The 20,914-nt window shown below is 39.4% G+C and overlaps 1 protein-coding gene and 1 pseudogene across 2 annotated transcripts in view; both read left to right on the plus strand.

Annotated features, from left to right (window-relative positions):
• Positions 6,694–6,795, plus strand: RNU6-369P (RNA, U6 small nuclear 369, pseudogene; annotated as a pseudogene).
• Positions 20,755–20,914, plus strand: part of RNF220 (ring finger protein 220) — a 246,942-nt gene continuing 246,782 nt past the window's right edge. For both annotated transcript variants that reach the window (XM_047424277.1, XM_047424269.1), the window contains exon 1: positions 20,755–20,788. The gene's annotated coding sequence lies outside the window, so the exon portion shown is untranslated. The remainder of the gene's footprint in view (positions 20,789–20,914) is intronic.

A 20,914-nucleotide genomic window follows, 5' to 3' on the forward strand; every position in this document is an offset into this window, starting at 1 on the left:
GTGTCTTAGTTTGGGCTGCTGTAACAAAGTATCATAGACTGGGTGGCTTATAAACAACAGGAATTTATTTCTCAAAGATCTGGGGGCTGGAAGCCTGAGATCAGGGTTCTGGTGAGGGCTTGCAGACAACACAGTTGCACACAGCCAACTCTTCTGGGTTGCAGACAGCAGACTTCTTGTATCCTCACTTGGTTGAAAGAGGACAAGAGAGCTCTCTAGGGTCTTTTTTGCAAATGACCTAATTAACTCCTGAAGGCCCTACCTCCTAATACCCTCACATTGGCGGTTTGAATTTCAACATATGAATTTGGAGGGGACATAAACATTCACTCCATAGCAGAGAGATGTGTCACTGCTATTCAACTGAAAAATTGATATACAGTTGATGAGGGTGTGGGGAAACCGATATTTTCAAATACTGCTAATAGGATATAAGTTGGTACAGCTTCTTTTAAAGCATTTATCAAACTGCCTCTTGCTATTATACTTGAAGGACAATCTGGCTAACAAAATTCATAGACTTTATTTTCTTCCCCTCAGAACTCGAAGTCATTGTCCTGTTGTTTCTCTGACGTTGCTTTAGTTCTTTTACCCCAGTAGCTTCATTCATCTCGGTTGGTTCAACTTAAGTATTTTTTTTCCCCAGAAAAGCATCTTATGCCCTTTATTCCCTACATTCTCACTTGTTTGAGAATGTCTGTCTTTGGCTTGTATAAATAAATGACAACTTGACCAGATATAGTATTCTCAGGCTCACTCTATGTCTCCTGAAACTGCAACCATTGAATGTTTCTGTGAGGTCTGAGGGCCAGCCTGATTCTTCCTTCTTTTAGGTGACCTGCTTTTTCTGCTTGGATGACTGAGGAGTTCCTTTTTCTTTTTTATTATTATTATTATTATTATACTTTAAGTTTTAGGGTACATATGCACAATGTGCAGGTTAGTTACATATGTATACATGTGCCATGCTGGTGTGCTGCACCCATTAACTCGTCATTTAGCATTAGGTATATCTCCTAATGCTATCCCTCCCCGCTCCCCCCACTCCACAACAGTCCCCAGAGTGTGATGTTCCCCTTCCTGTGTCCATGTGTTCTCATTGTTCAATTCCCATCTATGAGTGAGAACATGCGGTGTTTGTTTTTTGTCCTTGCGATAGTTTACTGAGAATGATGATTTCCTTTTTCATTCTTAAAGTTGAATAATTTAATCAGGATAGATCTTGGTTTCAATTATGCATTATCAGTTTTTCTTGGAGCACAGTATATCCTTTTAATGTAGAGATTCAGTTCTCCATAGTTCTTCATATCAGAAAAGTTTCTTCTGTTATATATTAAAACACCTCTTCTTGCCAGGCACAGTGGCTCACGCCTGTAATCCCAGCACTATGGGAGGCCGAGGGGAGCGGATCATGAGGTTGGGAGATGGAGACCATCCTGGCTAACACAGTGAAACCCCGTCTCTACTAAAAATACAAAAAATTAGCCGGGCATGGTGGCAGGCAGCTGTAGTCCCAGCTACTCGGGAGGCTGAGGCAGGAGAATGGCATGAACCTGGGAGGTGGAGCATGCAGTGAGCCGAGATAGGGCCACTGCACTCCAGCCTGGGCAACAGAGCAAGACTCGTCTCAAAAAAAAAAAAAAAAAAAAAAAAAAAACCCTCTTCTTTTTAATTTGTTGTGTTCTTCAAGGATGCCAATTTTCTTTTGGCTATATCATCTTTATGTGCCTTCTTTTTTTTATTATTTATTATTATTCTTTTTGAGACAAGGTCTCACTTTGTCACCTAGACTGGAGTGCAGTGGCACAATCAGAGCTCACTGCAGCCTCAACCTCCCAGGCTCAAGCCATCCTCCTACCTCAGCCTCTCAAGTAGCTGGGACTACAGGTATGTGCCACCATGCCTGGCTAATTTTTTATTTTTTGTAGAGAAGTGTCTTGCTATGTTGCCCAGGCTGGTCTCGAACTCTCAGATGCAAGTGATCCTCCCGCCTTGGCCTCCCAAGTGCTGGATGACAGGGGTGAGCCACTGTGCCCGGCCTCTTCTATATTTTTAAATCTTCTTTCAAATTTTTTAGAAAATTGACCATTTTCTCTTATTCACTATTATTAGATCATGAATTTCTTTATTTATAAGTTATGCATAGTGTTAACTGGGTCCCTAATTTGTCTCCTCTGCTCTACAGTGTCTCTTTTCATCTCATTCTGTTGTTTTATCATGTTGTCTTTGCATTCTTTTATTTAATTATTTAATTTATGGTTTTTTATTCCTTTCTTTTTTTTCTTTTTTTGGCTCACTGCAACCTCCGCCTCCCAGGTTCAAGTGATTCTCCTGCCTCAGCCTCCTGAGTACCTGGGATTACAGGTGTGTACCACCATGCCCGGCTAATCTTTGTATTTTTAGTAGAGACAGGGTTTCACCAGGTTGGCCAGGCTGATCTTGAACTCCTGACCTCACGTGATCCACCTGCCTCGGCCTCCCAAAGTGTAGGGATTACAGGCGTGAGCCACCGTGCCCAGTCATTTAATTCATGTTTTTTTAAATTTCTTCTATGGCATGAAGCACTCATGGACAATTTTCTCTTCCTCTGGTATTACTTTCAACACTCCACTCCTTATCTTTTTTTTTTTTTTTTTCACTCCATGGTTCCTTTCCTTCTTTGTTTCTTTTTCCTTTTCATTATGCTATGTTATATTTTCACATTTATTATACTGATGTTTTGGAGGAATTCTTCCATGATATCCATCCAATCTTATCTAGTCTCAGGAGTGGGCACATACGCAGGCAAGACCAATCAGTGTTCCAAGACAATTGATAAATATATGTCTTGTTTCTTTTCTACATTATATTGCCTTGGTTTTGAATCCTCAGAAAAGTGCTTTATAAAATACTTCGGATAGCAGTCATAGCAGCTAAGCACTCCCTTACCCTCACCATATATTGTCAGGCTACAGATATGTAGACTAGCCTAGTCCACCCTCAAACTCTAGCTCTTAGGTAAAAAACAAACTCTAATTCACAGGTCATCTCCTTGAGGGGCTTTCTCTTACTATCTTTCCTAAGGATACCCAAACTCTAGTTACTCTATTACAGCACTTCTGAGGAGGTCTTTGTGTGTCTTCAAAACGTTTGTCACTATTTCAGAGTATCTTATTTATTTGCTTATTATTTAATGTTTCTCTGACTCTTGGAATGTAAGTTTCATGACAGAAGGGACCTTGTCTCTCTTGTTAAGTTTCTGTATCCCCAGCATCAAGAACAGAGCCAAAGAAGATAATTGTTTCAAAAAATATTTATTTTCAATTTTATTATAAATTATGAAGTGAACATTCTTAGCATACATCTTTTTGAGTCATTTAAATGATCTCTTTTTTACTTTAAGTTCTGGGATACATGTGCTGAATGTGCAGGTTTGTTACCTAGGTATACATGTGCCACTGTGGTTTGCTGCACCTATCAACCTGTGATCTAGGTTTTAAGCCCCGCATGCATTAGGTATTTGTCCTAATGCTCTCCCTCTCCTTGCCCTTAAATGATCTCTTTAGAGTACATTGCTGGAAGTAGGATTACTATGTCAAGAGGTACACACATTTTATATTATGTTACCCATAGCCAAACTATTTCTAGAAACGTGGTTCACACTTATACCCTCAAGAAAAGTGCAGGTGAGTGCTCATTCTCCTCACCTACAGTGGATTCGGTCAATCTTCCTAGTCTTCACCAACCTATAAGTAAAATATAATAGTTCATTGTTTTATTTATTTTTTTTATTTAGGCTATTAGCCATTTGTAGTTCTTAATTTGGGAATTGTCCATCATGCAATTTCACCATTTTCTATTGGGTTGTTAGTTTTTTTTGTTCATTTATGATCTAATTGGATATATGTTATTAGCTCTTTTAAATTGAATATTATAAACATTTTCTCTATTTGTTATTTGTCTTTCAGTCTTATTTATGGCCTTTCTTGATAGGCAGAATGTGCACATTTGTATGTAGTTAATATTTTCCCTTTATGGCTTCTGGGTTTTGGGATATGTTCTGAAAGACCTTCTTCACCTCCAAGATTATACAAATATTTACCCATGTTTTCTTCAAGTATTTTTATGGTTTTATGTTTTTCTCTAGGTCTAAGGAGTGAGGTAAGGATACAGCTTTATTTTTTTCCAAATGACTGGACAGTTATTCCAAAATCTTTTGCTGAATTATTCAGTGTATCTCCACTGATAACATTTAGTGATTATTTATCATGTGCCAGACACTAAATCCTCTACATACCTAATCTAGTTTAATCCTTACATCAAGTGGTGACAAAACGAGATTTGCATTTATAGCACACACTCGCACAGTTTGTCTTTAATGTAGAAAATAGATTGGCGGGGCATAGATAGATAGATAACGGGATTATGGGAATCAGCTGATGCAATTATGGAAGCCAAGAAGTCCCACAATATGCCTTCCACAAGCTGTAGATCCTAGGAAGCTGGTGGTGTAATATATCTGAGTCCAAGGTCTGAGAACTGAGGAGCCAATGATGTAAGTCCCAGAGTCAGAAGGCCCAAGAACCTAGAACTCTGATGTCTGAGAGCAGGAGAAGATAAGTGTTCCAGTTAAGAAGAGAGAAAGTGAATCCACCCTTCCTCCATCTTTTTGTTCCATCTGAGCCTTCAATGATTGGATGATGTCAGCCCACATTGGTGAGGGTGGATGTTCTTTACTCAATCTACTGATTCAAATGCTAATCTCTTCCAGAAACAGTCTCACAGACACACCCAGAAACAACGTTTTACCAGCCATCTGAGCATCCCTTAGCCCAGTCAAGTTGACATATAAAATTAACCGTTGCAGTGGGGGAAAGAATGATTGCAGGAAGACCCATTATTTATGTCATCCAGGCAAGAGGCTCCTTTGAAGCTCTGTATTCTAGCACCTTACTGTGCATGGCACATGGTAGGTAACAAGTGGAATGAAACTTTTCCATGAAAAATGATAGTGACTTGAACGGAGGTTGGGAGGGATGGCAGTAGAGATGGAAAAAAAAGTGAAAAAAATTGAGAAATAATTTGAAGACAGAATTAACAGGCCTTCATGATTATTTAAATATGGAGAGATGAGAGCAGGAAATGTCAAAGATGGCTCAGCTTTCTGGCAGAGATAGATTTAATGGAATATTGATGAGTTTACTTTTGAACAGGCTGAGTTGAAGGTACCTTGGAGATATCCATTTGAAGAAGTCAGGTAAGCAGTTAGATATATCAGTCCAGAACTCCAACAGCAAGGTATATTTGAGGAGCATATGCATGTTGTTAGTAACTGAAGCCATAGGAAAAGTTAAAATTACTTCAGGAAGGGATATTGAATGAAAAGGGAAGCACTCCTAGGACAGATCCCTGAAAAACTCTCCTACTTAAAGGTTTAATAGAACACAAAGGAGGAGTCAGCAAAAATGTTTGCAAAAGGGCAGCTGGAGAGATAAGAGGAATTGGGAGAGTGTGGTGTTTCAGAAGACAGGAAAGAGAATAATTAAGGAGAGAGTTCAGGGTAATTCTAAGAGAGCAAATGAAATGATGGGCCATGAACTGTAAGCTCGACAAATGGGGAAGTGAAGACAAGAAGGGAGTAATAGAAAGAAAGGGGTCAATAAACTGATATTCAAATGAAAGGGAAGAATAGTTGCAGTTGGACTAGCTTAATAATGAGCTGGAAGCATAGGTGCTTGTGGTCAGAAAGTAGACTATCTGAATTAGTGATTTTAGAAGTAGAGAGAATTTTAGGTCATGATGACAAGATCCAGGGGGTGACTGTGAAGGCGGGTGGTTGAATAGCAATGTAGGAGGACATGGGAGATACTCTGGGTCTCTCTTGAGGATTCTGAAGTCACTTAGGATGATGGCAGTACTCATGGCACAAGAGAAGACAGTAAGCCAAGTGCCACTGTCTTCTGTGAGGTGGGGAGATTACAGTTACCAATCACGGAGAGAGTAGTAGGGGTTTTCACAAAAGGGTGGAAAAGCAGTGGACTCTGAGTAGCACTGGGAAGCATCCTCATCTCCTGACAGTACATAGGTGTAAGAATATGAGCGGATCTCTCTTGAGGGAGCTGCAGGGTAAGTGGTGTAGAGAGAGCCAGGTTTAGATAAGGCATGAGGTGGCAGGAACATTCAGAGAAAAGTGTTTGAGGGCACAGGAGAGTTGAAATTCCAAAGGGCAAATGGAAGGTTTTGGCAGGGAGAGAAGAGAGGGGTTGGATACTTCCACACTTAAGGAAGTATGTAGCATTTTAGGAATGATAGCTCATATAGGACAAATATGGGAAGAGACAAAGTATCTATATTTGGAGCTTTGACCTATGACAATAGGAATGAAACTTGATAGGTTTAGTCTCACTTAGCCCTCAGAGAAGAGTGGACACAAGGGCTTAAAAAAAAGTCAGCTGTGGTCTGGAAAGTCCTGCAAACATTTCTTCTCACGCAGAGATGTGATTAGTCATAGGAGATGCAGCAGAGGATAATAGTAGGGAACAAAAAAGCTTGAAGTTCAAGGCTCTTTGAGGAGAGGGATGAACAGTGGCTCTAACAAGATTGGATTAGACCCAGGATCCACTGGTACCCTGTTTAATCAAGGCTTGGAGGTCTGGATGTTTGTAGCTTGGGATAGGGTGGATGTGAAAGGAGGAAGTGAAGGGTGGCCCAGGAGTGCTTCGGCAGCACATACGCTAAAATTGGAATGATACAGAGATTAGCATGGCCCCCTGCACAAAGGATGACACAAACATTTGTGAAGCCTTTCATATTTAAAAAAAAAAAAAGAATGGCCTTTTCTTTTTTCTTTTTTTTTTTTTTTTAGACAGAGTCTTGCTCTGTAGCCCAGGCTGGAGTGCAGTGGCACAATCTCGACTCACTGCAACCTCCACCTCCCAGGTCAAGAAATTCTCCTGCCTCAGCCTCACGAGTAGCTGGGATTACAGGCATGCTCCACGATGCCCAGCTAATTTTTTTTGGCATTTTTTAGTAGAGATGGAGTTTCACCATGTTGGCCAGGCTGGTCTTGAACTCCTGACCTCGTGATCCTCCTGCCTCAGCCTCCCAAAGTGCTGGGATTACAGGCGTGAGCCATCGCGCCTGGCCAAAGAATGGTCTTTTCTTGACCCTAGATCTATAGGTGCAGATACAGTTTAGAACTTCGGATATCTGTTGTATTACAAGTTTTAATTTTACTCCCCAAGTATAGATATAACAGCTAAACTATTATTTTTAAATATTTTCACTTGTTCTTACAGGTTAAATATTTAAATTATTTGGGCCATTTTCCCCAAATTTTACTCTTATTTTAGCATATTCTATATTTGCTTAATTTTTAATTTAAGTAATTGTTTTTATTAAGTTAATGTCAACAATAAAAATTGGTTTCGAGTTGGTATAGTGATAGAATTCAGAAGTCTTAACAAAACTGAAAGTTGTCACACATTTCAGGAGGTAAAGTATAAAGCTTAGTTTTTAATTTGTCCTTTCCTTGCCAACACTTTATAGAATCAATAGAAAATACATTAGCAGAACTAGGCCAGTATCATACACAGTGCACTTTCCTCACCACCCTCAGCTCCTTGTAACTTCTTGCTCCACTGAATTTCTGAGAACCTTTTTGTCTCTAATACTCACTTGGTACTTTTTACGGATATATTCCATTCTTTTCTCTCTGTGGAAGCTTTTTGTTTTTTATCTATATATAATCAATTTAAGATGCATATTTTTCCACATTTTAACAGCTCTGAAATGGGGATGCATCTTATAATCTAAACTATCTTTGATTTGATAATGTACAGTACTTTGTATCACTCCCCCAAACAGCCTAGTATAATTCCTAACACACAGTAAGCACTGAAAAAATGTTTGTTTATTGATTGATTATATGTAAATTAAGAAGAGGTCATATAATTCGAATTATTACTTAAATACAAATGTTAACCTGACCTCTAGCACATCCTCGAACTCTTAACGTTCATAAGTTTTTAATTCAATAAAATGTGAGATCATTTCAAAAAAGAGGAAATGGGCCAGGCATGGTGGCTCATGCCTGTAATCCTAGCACTTTGGGAGGCTGAGGCAGGTGGATCACCTGAGGTCAGGAGTTTTAGACCAGCCTGGCCAACATGGCAAAACCTCTACTAAAAATACAAATTAGCCCAGTGTGGTAGCGCATGCCTGTAATCCCAGCTATTCGGGAGGCTGAGGCAGGAGAATTGCTTGAACCTGGGTGGCAGAGGTTGGCGTGAGCCAAGATCATGCCACTGTACTCCAACCTGGGCAACAGAGAGAGACTCCATTTCAAAAAAAAAAAAAGAAAAGAAAGAAAGAAAGAAATGAATAAGGAAAATTTAATTATTTGCCTGCTTTTATAATATTTAAAAATGGATTTAATATTTAAAAGGCATTCCTTAATAATACCTACCTTACTTTTGTGTAAAATTTGTTACACACACAAAAAAATTTCTGCAACACAGGAAGAAAAATCTATTAGAAGAGAGAGTATATGATTTACCTGAGTTCTACAACTAGTAAATGTCTTGGCTTCTTGCTTATAGTACTCGTTCTTTTTACTAGACTCTCTTGTTCCATGGAAAGGCAGATATACAAAATGCATTCTTAAATGCAACCCGTTTTTGCAGAGTGCTTTTTAAAAGTGATTGCCATGAAGTGAAATTCTAACTGCATATGTGCTGCTGCATTCATTTCTTTCTAGTCTTCAAAAGAAAGGAATGGAAAAGATACAACAGAGCTGAAGTATAATTGCTTATTAGGTGTCGTTCAATGAGGGAGGCAGTAAAAAGTGAAACTAGTATTATTGCATAGTAAAGAGCACCTTATTTAGCTCTTGGGAAAGATTGAAGGATATTTACTGCAAAAATGCAATTTTCTCCGACTTCAAAGGAATCATCACAAGAGTCAACCCATTTTCCAACTTAGAACCTTTAAGTCATTCCCATGATGTGTTTCTATTCCTTTGTCTCACGTGGCTCCTCTGCAATTCCTCTTTCGTGCCACTCCATTGCTTAGCTTCTATTCGACTTTTGGAGGAACTTTCACTGCTACATATTGATTTCTGGGCTCTCCTTAGGTTAGGTTACCCCTTTCCTGCTTTTATTTTTATTGCAATAATATCTTTTTTTTTTTTTTTGAGACGGAGTCTTGCTTTGTTGCCAGGCTGGAGTGCAGTGGCCCAATCTCAGCTCACCACAACCTTTGCCTCCCAGGTTCAAGCGATTCTCCTCCCTCAGCCTCCCGAGTAGCTGGGATTACAGGTGCGTGCCACCATGCCCAGGTAATTTTTTTTCTTTCTTTCTTTTTTTTTTTAGAGACGGGGTTTCACCATGTTGGCCACGATGGTCTCGATCTCTTGACCTCAGGTGATCTGCCCGCCTCGGCCTCCCAAAGTGCTGGGATTACAGGCGTGAGCCACTGTGCCCGGCCTGATCTTCCTTTTTCAATTATTTCTTTATATTTAGTTAGTTTGTTTTGCTTTTTTAGCCATGTTAACTTTTTGAGAAGGTTACTTGATCTGAGTTTCAACTGTTTTATCTGTGAAATATGGATGAAAATACCTACCTATCAGGGTTTTTTTTGTGAAAATTAAGTGACACCACTTACTTAAAAGTGGCTAGTGGAATACCTGCTTCCTTTCATAGTTGGCTCTTCATAAAATATTATTCAGTTCAGGCTGGGCGCAGTGTCTCACGCCTGTAATCCCAACACTCTGGGAGGCCGAGGCGGGCAGATCACCTGAGGTTGGGAGTTCAAGACCAGCCTGACCAACATGGAGAAACCCCGTCTCTACTAAAGATACAAAATTAGCCAGGCACGGTGGTCCATGCCTGTAATTCCAGCTACTCGGGAGCCTGAGGCAGGAGAATTGCTTGAACCCGGGAGGTGGAGGTTGCCGTGAGCCGAGATCACGCCATTGCACTCCAGCCTGGGCAACAAGAGTGAGACTCTGTCTCAAAAGAAAAAAGAAAAGAAAAATTCAGTTTAGTACATCCCTTCAACGTGAACTCACTTTAATTCTTTGCCATGCTCTTGTATTAAATGCTATTGCCCGTAATTTACTCAAATTTTCCAAATTCATGTAATCTTCTTGCAGGCCGGCCGTGTAACTTATCTGGACACTTTGAGAGTGTAAAGGGGCAGGCACCATCAATTATTATGTTAAGACAACAGGTGTTAATTGGGACTGTCTTAGGCAAATTAGAATGTAGCCTATCAGCCCTCTCCTGGCTGTAGCAGACTCTGCTTTCTACCTTGGAATTACTTTCATGGTGCCCTTTTCAGGACCCCATTTCTTTTCTAACCTCTTCGCTGAGTATAAATTTTCCCCTTTGTCACCGCCACTATCAGTACCTATGCTTGGAACTGCATATGTTTGCTTTCTAAACCACCCAGTCTCCTTCACCGACTTCTCCATTTCCGTCAAAGACTAGAGCACACTTCAGAGTTTATCTCTGATTTTCCGTATTCCTTCAAGTCTCATATCCGGTCAGTTGGCAGTTTGTTTATTTAATTCTATAAGTCTTTATTGAGCATTTACTTTGTGCCAGATGCCAAGTGAAGCGCTAGGGATAAAACTACAAATAAGATATAATCCTGATGTACAAGAAGCTCATTTTTTTCAGAAAGAGAGTTAAAACAGATGGACGCAGTAGCCTGTAATCCCAGCACTTTGGGAGGCTGAGGCAGGTGGTTTGCTTGAGCTCAGGAGTTTGAGACCAGCCATGGACAACATGGCAAAACCCTGTCTCTACAAAAAAAAAAAACATAAAAAATTAGCCAGGTGTGGTGGTATGCACCTGTAGTCCCAACTTTGGGAGGCTGAGGTGGGAGGATCCCTTGAACCCCAGAGGTGGAGGTTGCAGTGAGCCAAGATCGAGCCACTGCATTCCAGCCTGGGCAACAAAGTGAGACCTTATTTAAAAAAAAAAAAAAAAAAAAAAGGGAAAAAAGAAAGAAAAAAAGTTAAACATGTAAAGAAATAATTACAATACAATGTAAATGCCAAAAGAGAGTCTTTGGTATAGTAGAGATGCTAACATGGAAGTTATCAACTCTGCTTGGGGTGGTTCCAGGAAGGTTTTGCAGAAATAAAGGCAAACTCTACCTGTAGCTGGTTGTATGAATTAATAAACATGTTATTACCTACTATATGCTAGATACTATGTTATGTACCAGGAATGCACTGATAAGCAAGACAGGCATCGGCCCTGTCTCTCTGGGGTTTATAGACTATTAGGGAAGGCAGACGGTATAAAAGCAAAGGGTATTAAAAAGGAGAAGAAAGGATGAGGCATCCTGTGAACACACAAAGAGGGAACTAGCCAACAATGCTTCCAGTTCCAGAACAGTTAAGCTGAAACCTGAAAAGATGACTAGGATTAGCTAGGTAGCTATTAAAATAGGTGGAGGTAGAGATTGATAGAAGAGGGAGAGAGCAAAGTCTTAAGGTGAGAGCATGCAAAGCACTGAAGCATTGAGAGAAGACCAATATGGCTGGAGAACAGAGAGAAGTGGAAATGCAGGTAGATGTCAGAACATACAAGACCTTGTGGATCATATTAAAGATTTTAGGAATTTATCCAAAGGTCAATGGGAAGCCTTTTTTTTTTTTTTTTTTTTTTTTTCCTGAGACGGAGTCTTGCTCTGTTGCCCAGGCTGGAGTGCAGTGGCACAATCTCCACTCACCTCAACTTCCGCCTCCTGGGTCCAATCAATTCTCCTGCCTCGGCCTCCCGAGTAGCTGAGATTACAGGCATGCACCACCATGCCCGGCTAATTTTGTATTTTTAGTAGAGATGGGTTTTCTCCATGTTAGTCAGGTTGGTCTCGAACTCCCCATCTCAGGTGATCCACCTGCCTTGGCCTCCCAAAGTGCTGGGTTACAGGCATGAGGGAAGCCATAATTTAAGCATTAAAAGTGATATACAGATTTGCTCTTTTAAAAAGGAGGCTGTTGCAATAGCTTGGACAACAGGTGATACTGGTTTAAAAAATGGAGAATAATGATGGTTTTTAGAAATATCTAGATGGTATAATGGCAAAATTAGTGGCCGGGCATGGTGGCTCACGCCTGTAATCCCAGAACTTTGGGAGGCTGAGGCAGGTGGATCACCTGAGGTCGGGAGTTTGAGACCAGCCTGACCAACATGGAGAAACCCCATCTCTACTAAAAATACAAAATTAGCCCAGCGTGATGGTGCATCCCTATAATCCCAGCTACTCGGGAGGCTGAGAATTGCTTGAACCCGGGAGGTGGAGGTTGCAGTGAGCTGAGATTGTGCCATTGTACTCCAGCCTGGGCAACAAGAGTGAAACTCTGTCTCAAAAAAAGAAAGAAAAAAGGCAAAATTAATAATTGATATGGTATGGATGGTGGAAAAGGAGTAGTCAACGATGACTCTCAGATTTCTGCCTTGAACCACTGGTTAGCTGGTAGGGTTATTTACTGAGTTGAGGAACACCAAAGGAGGAGATGGTTTGGGAATGAAGATGATAAGTCCAGATTTGCGTATGCAGAGTTTGAGGTGCCAGTGAAATATTCAGGTTAGGTAGGCTATTGGGTATGAGGGTCTGAAGCTACAGATTGAAGAGCTTTAGGTATATCCATTGTAAGAAAGCCATAGGAGTAAATACATTTACCTCAGGAAAAACTCAAAGTGGGAAGAGAAGTGTACATTCAACAGAACCCTGGAAAACATTGAATGGTCCATAAAGATGTGTCAAAAATGGGTAAGAATGAGCTACTAGTGAGGTAAAAAGAAAATCAGAAAGGCGTGATGTCCACAAAGTCAAGGGAAGAAAGCATTTCAAAGAAGGAATGTCAGGTAAAATGGGAAATAAAAATTGATAACCTTACTGAAAGCCATTTTTTTGAGGAATGGCAGACAGAAAATCCAGATTGATGAGCTTGAAGAGTAGGTGGAAGGTGAAAAAGTAAAGACGGGGTCTGGAAGCAACACTTTCACAGGCTTGACCGGGAAGAAGAGAGAGGAGAGAGCATTAGAGCTGGAGAAGGATGTGGATGAAGGACTAAGGAGGATTTTTCTTTCTTTTTTAAAAAATTTCTCTCTCTCTCTTTTGAATGAGAAATACTTCAGTGTGTTTAAGTGCTGAATAGAAACAATTATTAAAGAGAAAGATATTGGAAACATGAAAAATGTGCTACAGGTGCAAAGACCCCTGAAGAAGACCAGGGCTCCAAAGCAAAGTGGAGTTGTCCTGTCTTTCATTGGAGAAGGGCTTCTTCCCTCTCTGTACCAGGAGAGAACAAGGAAAGAGGGGACAGGTGCAAGTAAGGGGTGTGAAGTTGAAGTAGTTTCCACTTGACAGCTTTTAATCTTTCAAAAATAGTTGCTCAATAAATATTTATTGAGTTGATGAATGAATACAAGCAAATAACATGACTCTGAAATCTGCACACTTCCCTCTTTTCCTCCGGAAGCATTCTATTGTCTAGAGAAGCTTGGGGATGACAGTGAAGGTGAGCAAGATTCAGAGTACTTTTAGGAAGAGGAAGAAGGATGTTTCCAAATCAAACAATAAGGATACTAAAATCTTGCTCCAAATGGAAATCAGCATGGAATAGCCGCTGTGTTGGATAAGGTGAAAGCAAAATGGCTGGCTATCTGTTCTATACAGGTCTGTTCTGATCTATGCTTTAAAAAAAATCCTTTTCAATTTCTAGAAGTTTCAAGTCACAAACTTGCACTTTGAGGGGACAACATGGAACTCTCACCTATTGAACCCTTACTATTTGCCAATAACTGTGGTGAGTACCTTTCATTTAATCCTCATATCAACTTCATTAAGTTAACATTGTCTCCGTTTTAAGCTTGTGGAAACAGAGCTTCAGAGAAGGTAAATGTGACAAGGTCATTCAACCAATAAGTGGTTGAAATAGGATTCAAACCCAGCTCTGCCTTCAGTTGCTCTTAACTATGATGCTATATTTCCATGAAATTTTAATAACTCTCATCACTACAAATACTCTTTATGACACAACTCTTGCATAAATTGTTCCCTGACATACCATGGGCATTATTCTTGTAATATTTTCCACTCTTCAATATTCAACTTTTATATCTTTTAATGTCCTACTTAAATCTTATCTTTGTAAACTATCACAAGAACAAAAAACCAAACACCGCATATTCTCACTCATAGGTGGGAATTGAACAATGAAAACACATGGACACAGGAAGGGGAACATCACACTCTGGGGACTGTTGTGGGGTGGGGGGAGGGGGGAGGGATAGCACTGGGAGATATACCTAATGCTAGATGACGAGTTAGTGGGTGCAGCGCACCAGTATGTCACATGTATACATATGTAACTAACCTGCACATTGTGCACATGTACCCTAAAACTTAAAGTATAATAATAATAATAATAATAATAAAAATCTTATCTTTGTCCAAAACACTTAAGGACATCTCAAACCATGATGGTTTCTCTGGCTTTTGAAAACCTGCAACAATTTGCCTGTATTACCCATTTGATATATTTTATCTGCATTATAAAATTGAATTTGGGTTTATTTAACCTTTCTTTTGATTATGAGTTAATGCTACAATTCTACAAGCTTCTTAGGGGATAGGAAGTGCATTTTGTGCCTTTTTGGGGGGATGGGGTGGGCATCTTTTACAGCTTCTTCCTACTGCCTTGATTCATACATAGTATGTAGTCAGTAAATATTTGTTGCTAGATTGCCAGACGGTCAATCTTGGCATTGATATTGGCTGACTGTCTTTGGGAGCTACCTGCAACTACTTCAGAAAGTTTCTTGTTGGAGTCAATATGAAAAATGGAGGATTTATTATTTCTACTGTGAATTTATTTTTTCTTTTTGGGTGATAAAACTGGAAATCTCAAAAAGTCTCCTGGTTTATGTGTTGGGCATAGATGAGGGAGATTCCTTTTGAAAGTGAGTGTAGAAAAGCAGACTTTTTATTTTGTGAAGGTTTTTTGAAGCTTACAAGTCCTTATATATATATTTTAAAAGTCCAGATTGCTCAAACTTGAAGTTCCCCTCCTCCTTGCTCCTCCTTCAGGGCCTTTTTCTAAACCTACTTCCCTTAAAATGACTTTTATTGATTTTCACTCAATGAGAGTTATTCTTCAGAATGAGGATGGAAGGGTCAGAGAGAGAAATTTACCCTGTGTTACCTGTGGAATAGGTGTGCATTTGTATCCAGTCTTGCTTTATTTGTTCTGTTTCCTGTATCCAGAAACCCACACACTGGGGATCATTAGGTCCTCTGTGTCTTGGTCGGAGCTTGAGTACAGTATACTAATAGATCAATTTATGTGTTCATTCATTCAGCAAACATTTATTGAGCAGGCATGTCCTAGGCATTGGAGATACTAAGATGAATAAGACATAGTCACTGCCCTCAGTGACCTCCAGATGTACAAGAAGACACCAGCCTGAAGGCAGCTGGGGTCAGGGAACAAGGCAACTGAATATCCTCCATCAGGAAATCCTAAGAGAATAAAAAGACCAGTCTTGTAACATAAATATAAACATCTAATCAAATTAGCCAATTAGAAAAACATTTTTAAGAAAAGGCAATCTTTTACCAATTTGTCCTATGTATCTTTTGCATTTTTTCTCCCTAATTTCTTTGTCTCCAGTCTTACTCGTCTCCAGTCTACATTTAAAATTGCCTCCAATTTTATTTTTCTAAACCCTGATCTGATCATGTCATTCCTGTTTTGAGAATTTTCACTCATTCATTCTGCACTTTTTATCAATCACCTACTGGATGTTTCCAGTGAGTGTGAAGTGTTTGGGATGCAGTGGTACGCAAGCAGGCCCTACCTTCAAGAAGCTTTAGAATCTAGACCAGGTAGTACTTTCTGAATCTTGTCCTTTTATCTAAATCAGTTGAGTCCGACAGACACCAGTATCTGTTGTGCTAAGTACCACGCAAAACAACTAAGACAGAATTCTGCTTTAAGCAGATCAGAGTCTATTAGAGGAATCTGAAAACAATCGATAATTCCAGTACAATGTGATAAATGAATAGATGCATGCATAGACTGCTATGATAATCAGATTTGAGGAGAAGAGAGGCTGGTGGGCAGGGTGGCTTCCTGGAAGAGTCCATCCCAAACAAAGTCTTGAAGTATAAATAGGAGTTGGCTAGACACTGGGAGTGTCCAGTTAGTTCCTTAATGTGACAAACAAGATCTTTCACAGTCCATTAATCTATTTTTCCAGTCTCCCCTTATATCTTCTACATCTTTTTTTTCAGCTCCCAGCCCAATTTCTGAATGTTTTTCAAATTAGGAATGAATGCCCCTGGTTTATTTAGTGTTGTGCTTTGGATGTGAGAAAGCACCAAATAAATGTGGTGCATCTTTCTGGAGCATCAGTTCTATCAAATGATAAGTAATTTAAAACATGGTTTTATATTAAAGCTTAATATATTTGTGGAATTGAAGGCAAAATTTTCATTCATTTTTCAAGATAAAACAGGATACATAAATTTCAAGCTAGTGGCAAGCCATTTTAGGCTTGCCCTTAGACATCACCACCTGCACCACCTCTTTCTTGAGGAAAAATTTGAGATGTACTATCGGAATGTGGCAGGAAATTTCATGTGCCTTTGCATACGCTATTTGCTCATCCTGGAGTGCTCTTCCTATTTTTCTCCCTTGATAAACTACTTATCCTTCAAAGCCCAACTTAAGTGTCATTCCATATAACAGTCATTTTTAACGAAGCTTAAATGTCATCCCATATGATAGTTATTTTTTAAAACACCCACTTCTGTCTCTGCCTCCTTTCCTAATAGCTCCAGGCAGACTCAGCACCTCCTTCTTTTGTGTTTCTACCACCCTATACTCAGAATATCCATTATAGCACTGCTTTCATTGTGCCATATGTATTTGCTTTCCAATCCATCTCTGCTGTTGGACTATAAACCTCTCTAGGGCAGGCACTATTATTTATCTTTCTATTCTTAGTGACTGGCACTTGGTAGACACTCAATAAATGTTTGTTGAATTTGTGGACCATTCCTTACTCTGCATCACCTCTGTTCTTATATAAAGTGATATCTCCTTTACTTCTCATCTTCAGGGAATGATGTGTTACACAAAAGTATATTTTCCAGACAACTGAAATTTACTTCTTAAAGTATCAAAATCTTCTGTTTAAATCATTTTGGTAGGAATTTATTTTTCTATATTTTCACACGTGTGCTTACTCTCATAAGTAAAATATACTAAGTGTAATGTGTTCCTTGATGACCTATCCCCAAAAGTATCAGGATATGTTTGGTTGGAATTCATGACATCCGCTGGGAGCACTGATGGGATAGGGCTTTTTGCCTTCACACCAAATAACCCTATTTTGTTGTAGTTTTTGAGTTATGGTGCTTGCTTCTTATAGTTCGGTCACCATTTCTCATTGTCAGTGTTCTTGCTCTAACAACACTACCCTTTGCTCTTTTTATATACGTTTTAACGGATATTAAAATTACAAAACTAATATATGTTCACTGAAAACAAACAGAAGTCTATGGAGTAAAAAGTCAAAGTCCTCCCTTCATTCCTGTCTAACCCCCCACCCTGTCACGTCCACACTTTCACTCCCTAGCCATAACCATTGTTAACGGTTTAATGTATCCCTACAGGCCTTTTTCTGTCAATGTGTGTGTACACGTATACGGACAAATATCAAATCATATTGTACATACTGTTGTATGACTTGCTTTTCTCACTCGACAGTATATAATAGGTATCCTTCTATGTCAATACATCCTAGTCTATATCATTCTTTTTAATGGCTGCCCCCTTTTAATTTGACAATCTTAATCAGCTGTGAATGGGAAAGCCAAATAATCAAGCTTATTAGAATTGTACCTAAGAAAGAATAAATCGGCTCTGAATGAAGGCTTGTGTAATTCTCCTAGGAGGGAAATGTGTTAACTTTAGTGCATGGACTTTGTAATGTTTATTTTGGCTATTCTGGGACCCTTTTTGCTTATTTCCTGCTTCATTGTGTTTTGGATAGCTGAGGTTGCTGGACATATGACCTGTGAATTAGTGAGGTATTACATATTCAATTTTGCATTACATAATTTTGCTCTGATTTTATGAGGGATTTGCATTTAATTTATTCGTTTAGATTGCTGTTATAGACAGTGATTAATTCTAGTTTCTGAGTACTTGCATCGTAGTGAGGACCACTGCATGTGGTAACAGCTAAAAATATTTGGCTTGATGATTGAACAGGCCTTCTTATCTGTATCATCTATCTGTGAGAATGTGCACTGGATCTACGGGAACTCTCTAAGTTAGTCTGAGGGAGCCTTTTACTACTGATAAACATTAAAGTACTGACAACATCTTTTGCTATAAATAATAAAATCTTATTTAGGATTTATATAGAGTCTTCCTTCTGCCTTCATCCACCATACTAAAATGGCTAAATCCTGTTGATTCTACCTTTTAGATCTCACTGTAATGTGTCCCCTCCTCTCCACTCACTCTGCCCCAGTACCTTGGTTCAGGCCCTACTTCATCTCAACTGAATTACTTGAGATAGACTTTTTGATTGGCCTCCCTGCCTCTTGTCTAACCTCCACCTTGTCCACCCAGGAACTAGTGCTTGTTTTAAAACAGAAATCCTACCCTGTCACACCCCTAAAACCCTCTAGGGGTTTCTCATCATCTGTAGGATAACATCCACTTTCCTTAGCTTAGTATACAAAGCCTTTTGTGATTTGGCCCACTTCTCCTGCCTATCTCTTGCTGCTCAATGTTTCATATTTCAATTTTGAGGGAAATCAGTGGCTTATAATTCCTTTAACACACCAGGCAAGAGAGTTCTCGATAAATGCTTGTTAAATGAATGAATGAAATACCTTATGTAGCTAGGGTGACCATTCAATCTGCTTGGCCCAGGATGGCCCTTGTTGACATTTGTCATCCCAGTGTAATTATTAAAAGTGTCCCTTTTTTATCATCAAACTTGTCTCAGTTAGATCAATAAATTCTAAGGTCATCCTTATTACAGTGGTTATCAAATTGATTTCTAACTCTTTCTTTGTCTCCTCTACTAGATGGTGAGCTCTTTGAGGACAGGAGTTCATTTTTATATCCTCGTTTATTCATTCAACTAAGAGACTGATGCTGTAAGGTGCTTAGGGTATGATGTAGAATGCAACAAACATGGTTCTTGACTTCATGAAGTTTACAATCCAGCAGGAAATAATAATTTAGTGGAAAGAATAGAGCCTAACATAATAAATGCTGGTGTATGAATGAATGATTAAACATGGATTAGAAGTTCCTCAACAGGCCAGGCGTGGTGGCTCACCCCTGTAATCCCAGCACTTTGGGAGACCGAGACAAGCGGATCACTTGGGGTCAGGAGTTTGAGACCAGCCTGGCCAACATGGTGAAACCGTATTTCTACTAAAAATTATTTGGGCATGGAGGGGCATGCCTGTAATCCCAGCTACTTGGGAGGCTGAGGTAGGAGAATCGCTTGAACTCGGGGCGGAGGTTGCAGTAAGCCAAGATCACACCACTGCACTCCAGCCTGGGCGAGAGAGTGAGATTCCATGTCAAAAAAAATAAATAAATAAAAATAAAGTTCCTCAACAAATAATCCTGATATCACGAATTATAGAAATAGTTGTAAATGTAGAACTCTAAGTGATCAAATTAACAATTTATTTAGAGTTGCCAATTAAAATTTTAAAATACCAACAGCACACATATACATAAACATACTTAATATTTAGATGCTACCTTAATGTTAAACATAAGTAAAAAGGACAATGAAATAATAGCAAGAATGAGATTTTGAGTCTCATTCTTTTTAGACAATTTATAATCCTATGTGGTTCTCTGTAAAGTGGATTATCAGTGTGTACTCCATTTCTCCCCACCCTCCCTTTTTTTTTTCCAGATGAGAAATCTGAGGTTTTAGACACTTAACTACAAAACAAAAGAATGACTTTTTTTTTTTTTTTTTTTTTTGTCACCCAGGCTGGAGTGCAATGGTGTGATCTCGGCTCACTGCAACTTCCGCCTCCCGGGTTCAAGCGATTCTCCTGCCTTGGCCTCCTGAGTAGCTGGGATTACAGGCGCATGCCACCACGCCCGGCTACTTTTTGTATTTTTAGTAGAGACAGGGTTTCACCATGTTTGTCAGGCTGGTCTTGAACTCCTGACCTCTTGTTCCGCCCGCCTCGGCCTCCCAAAGTGTTGGCATTGCAGGCGTGAGCCACCGCGCCCGGCCAGGAATGACTTCTTAAACCAGGATTTGATTTTGGTTGAACTTTGCTTTCAGAACTAGAACTACCTGCTATCCAAGACTTGTTAACCACGTTTTCATGGGCAAATTACAAAACCCTTTCAACCCCAGTTTCCTCTTCTATAAACTAGTGGTAATATTATTATCTCCAGAATTAATCTTAGGAGTAAATGAAATTATGTAAAGGCATTTAGTCTCATAACCGGGCTCCTAGAAAGCACTCAGGAATGTTAGTTCTCTATCCATTTCCCCTGTTTATCTTTGTGTTTGATGAATTATAGGATGATATGAAATGATCTGAAATGAACTGTAATATAAACATCAATAAAACACCAATAAAAAATTTTATTCTCACATCTGGATGCTATACTAGGCCTTCACCTCCTCCAAAAGTTACAGTTTTATTAATATTCATTTATTATTTATTATTATAGTCAAAGACCCAGAGAAGCATTCCAGGAACAAAGCAGCAGGTAAGATTTTTCTGGGAAAAGACAGAGATTTTGAGGGACCCAGGATTTGGGGGTCATTTAAGCAGCAGTGGATGTCAGTCTTCAAGCTTTGCCCATTTACTCTTGGTCCCTTTTGGTTCAGGAAAG

This window comes from Homo sapiens, chromosome 1, assembly GCF_000001405.40.
Source record: "Homo sapiens chromosome 1, GRCh38.p14 Primary Assembly".
Lineage (NCBI taxonomy): Eukaryota > Metazoa > Chordata > Mammalia > Primates > Hominidae > Homo > Homo sapiens.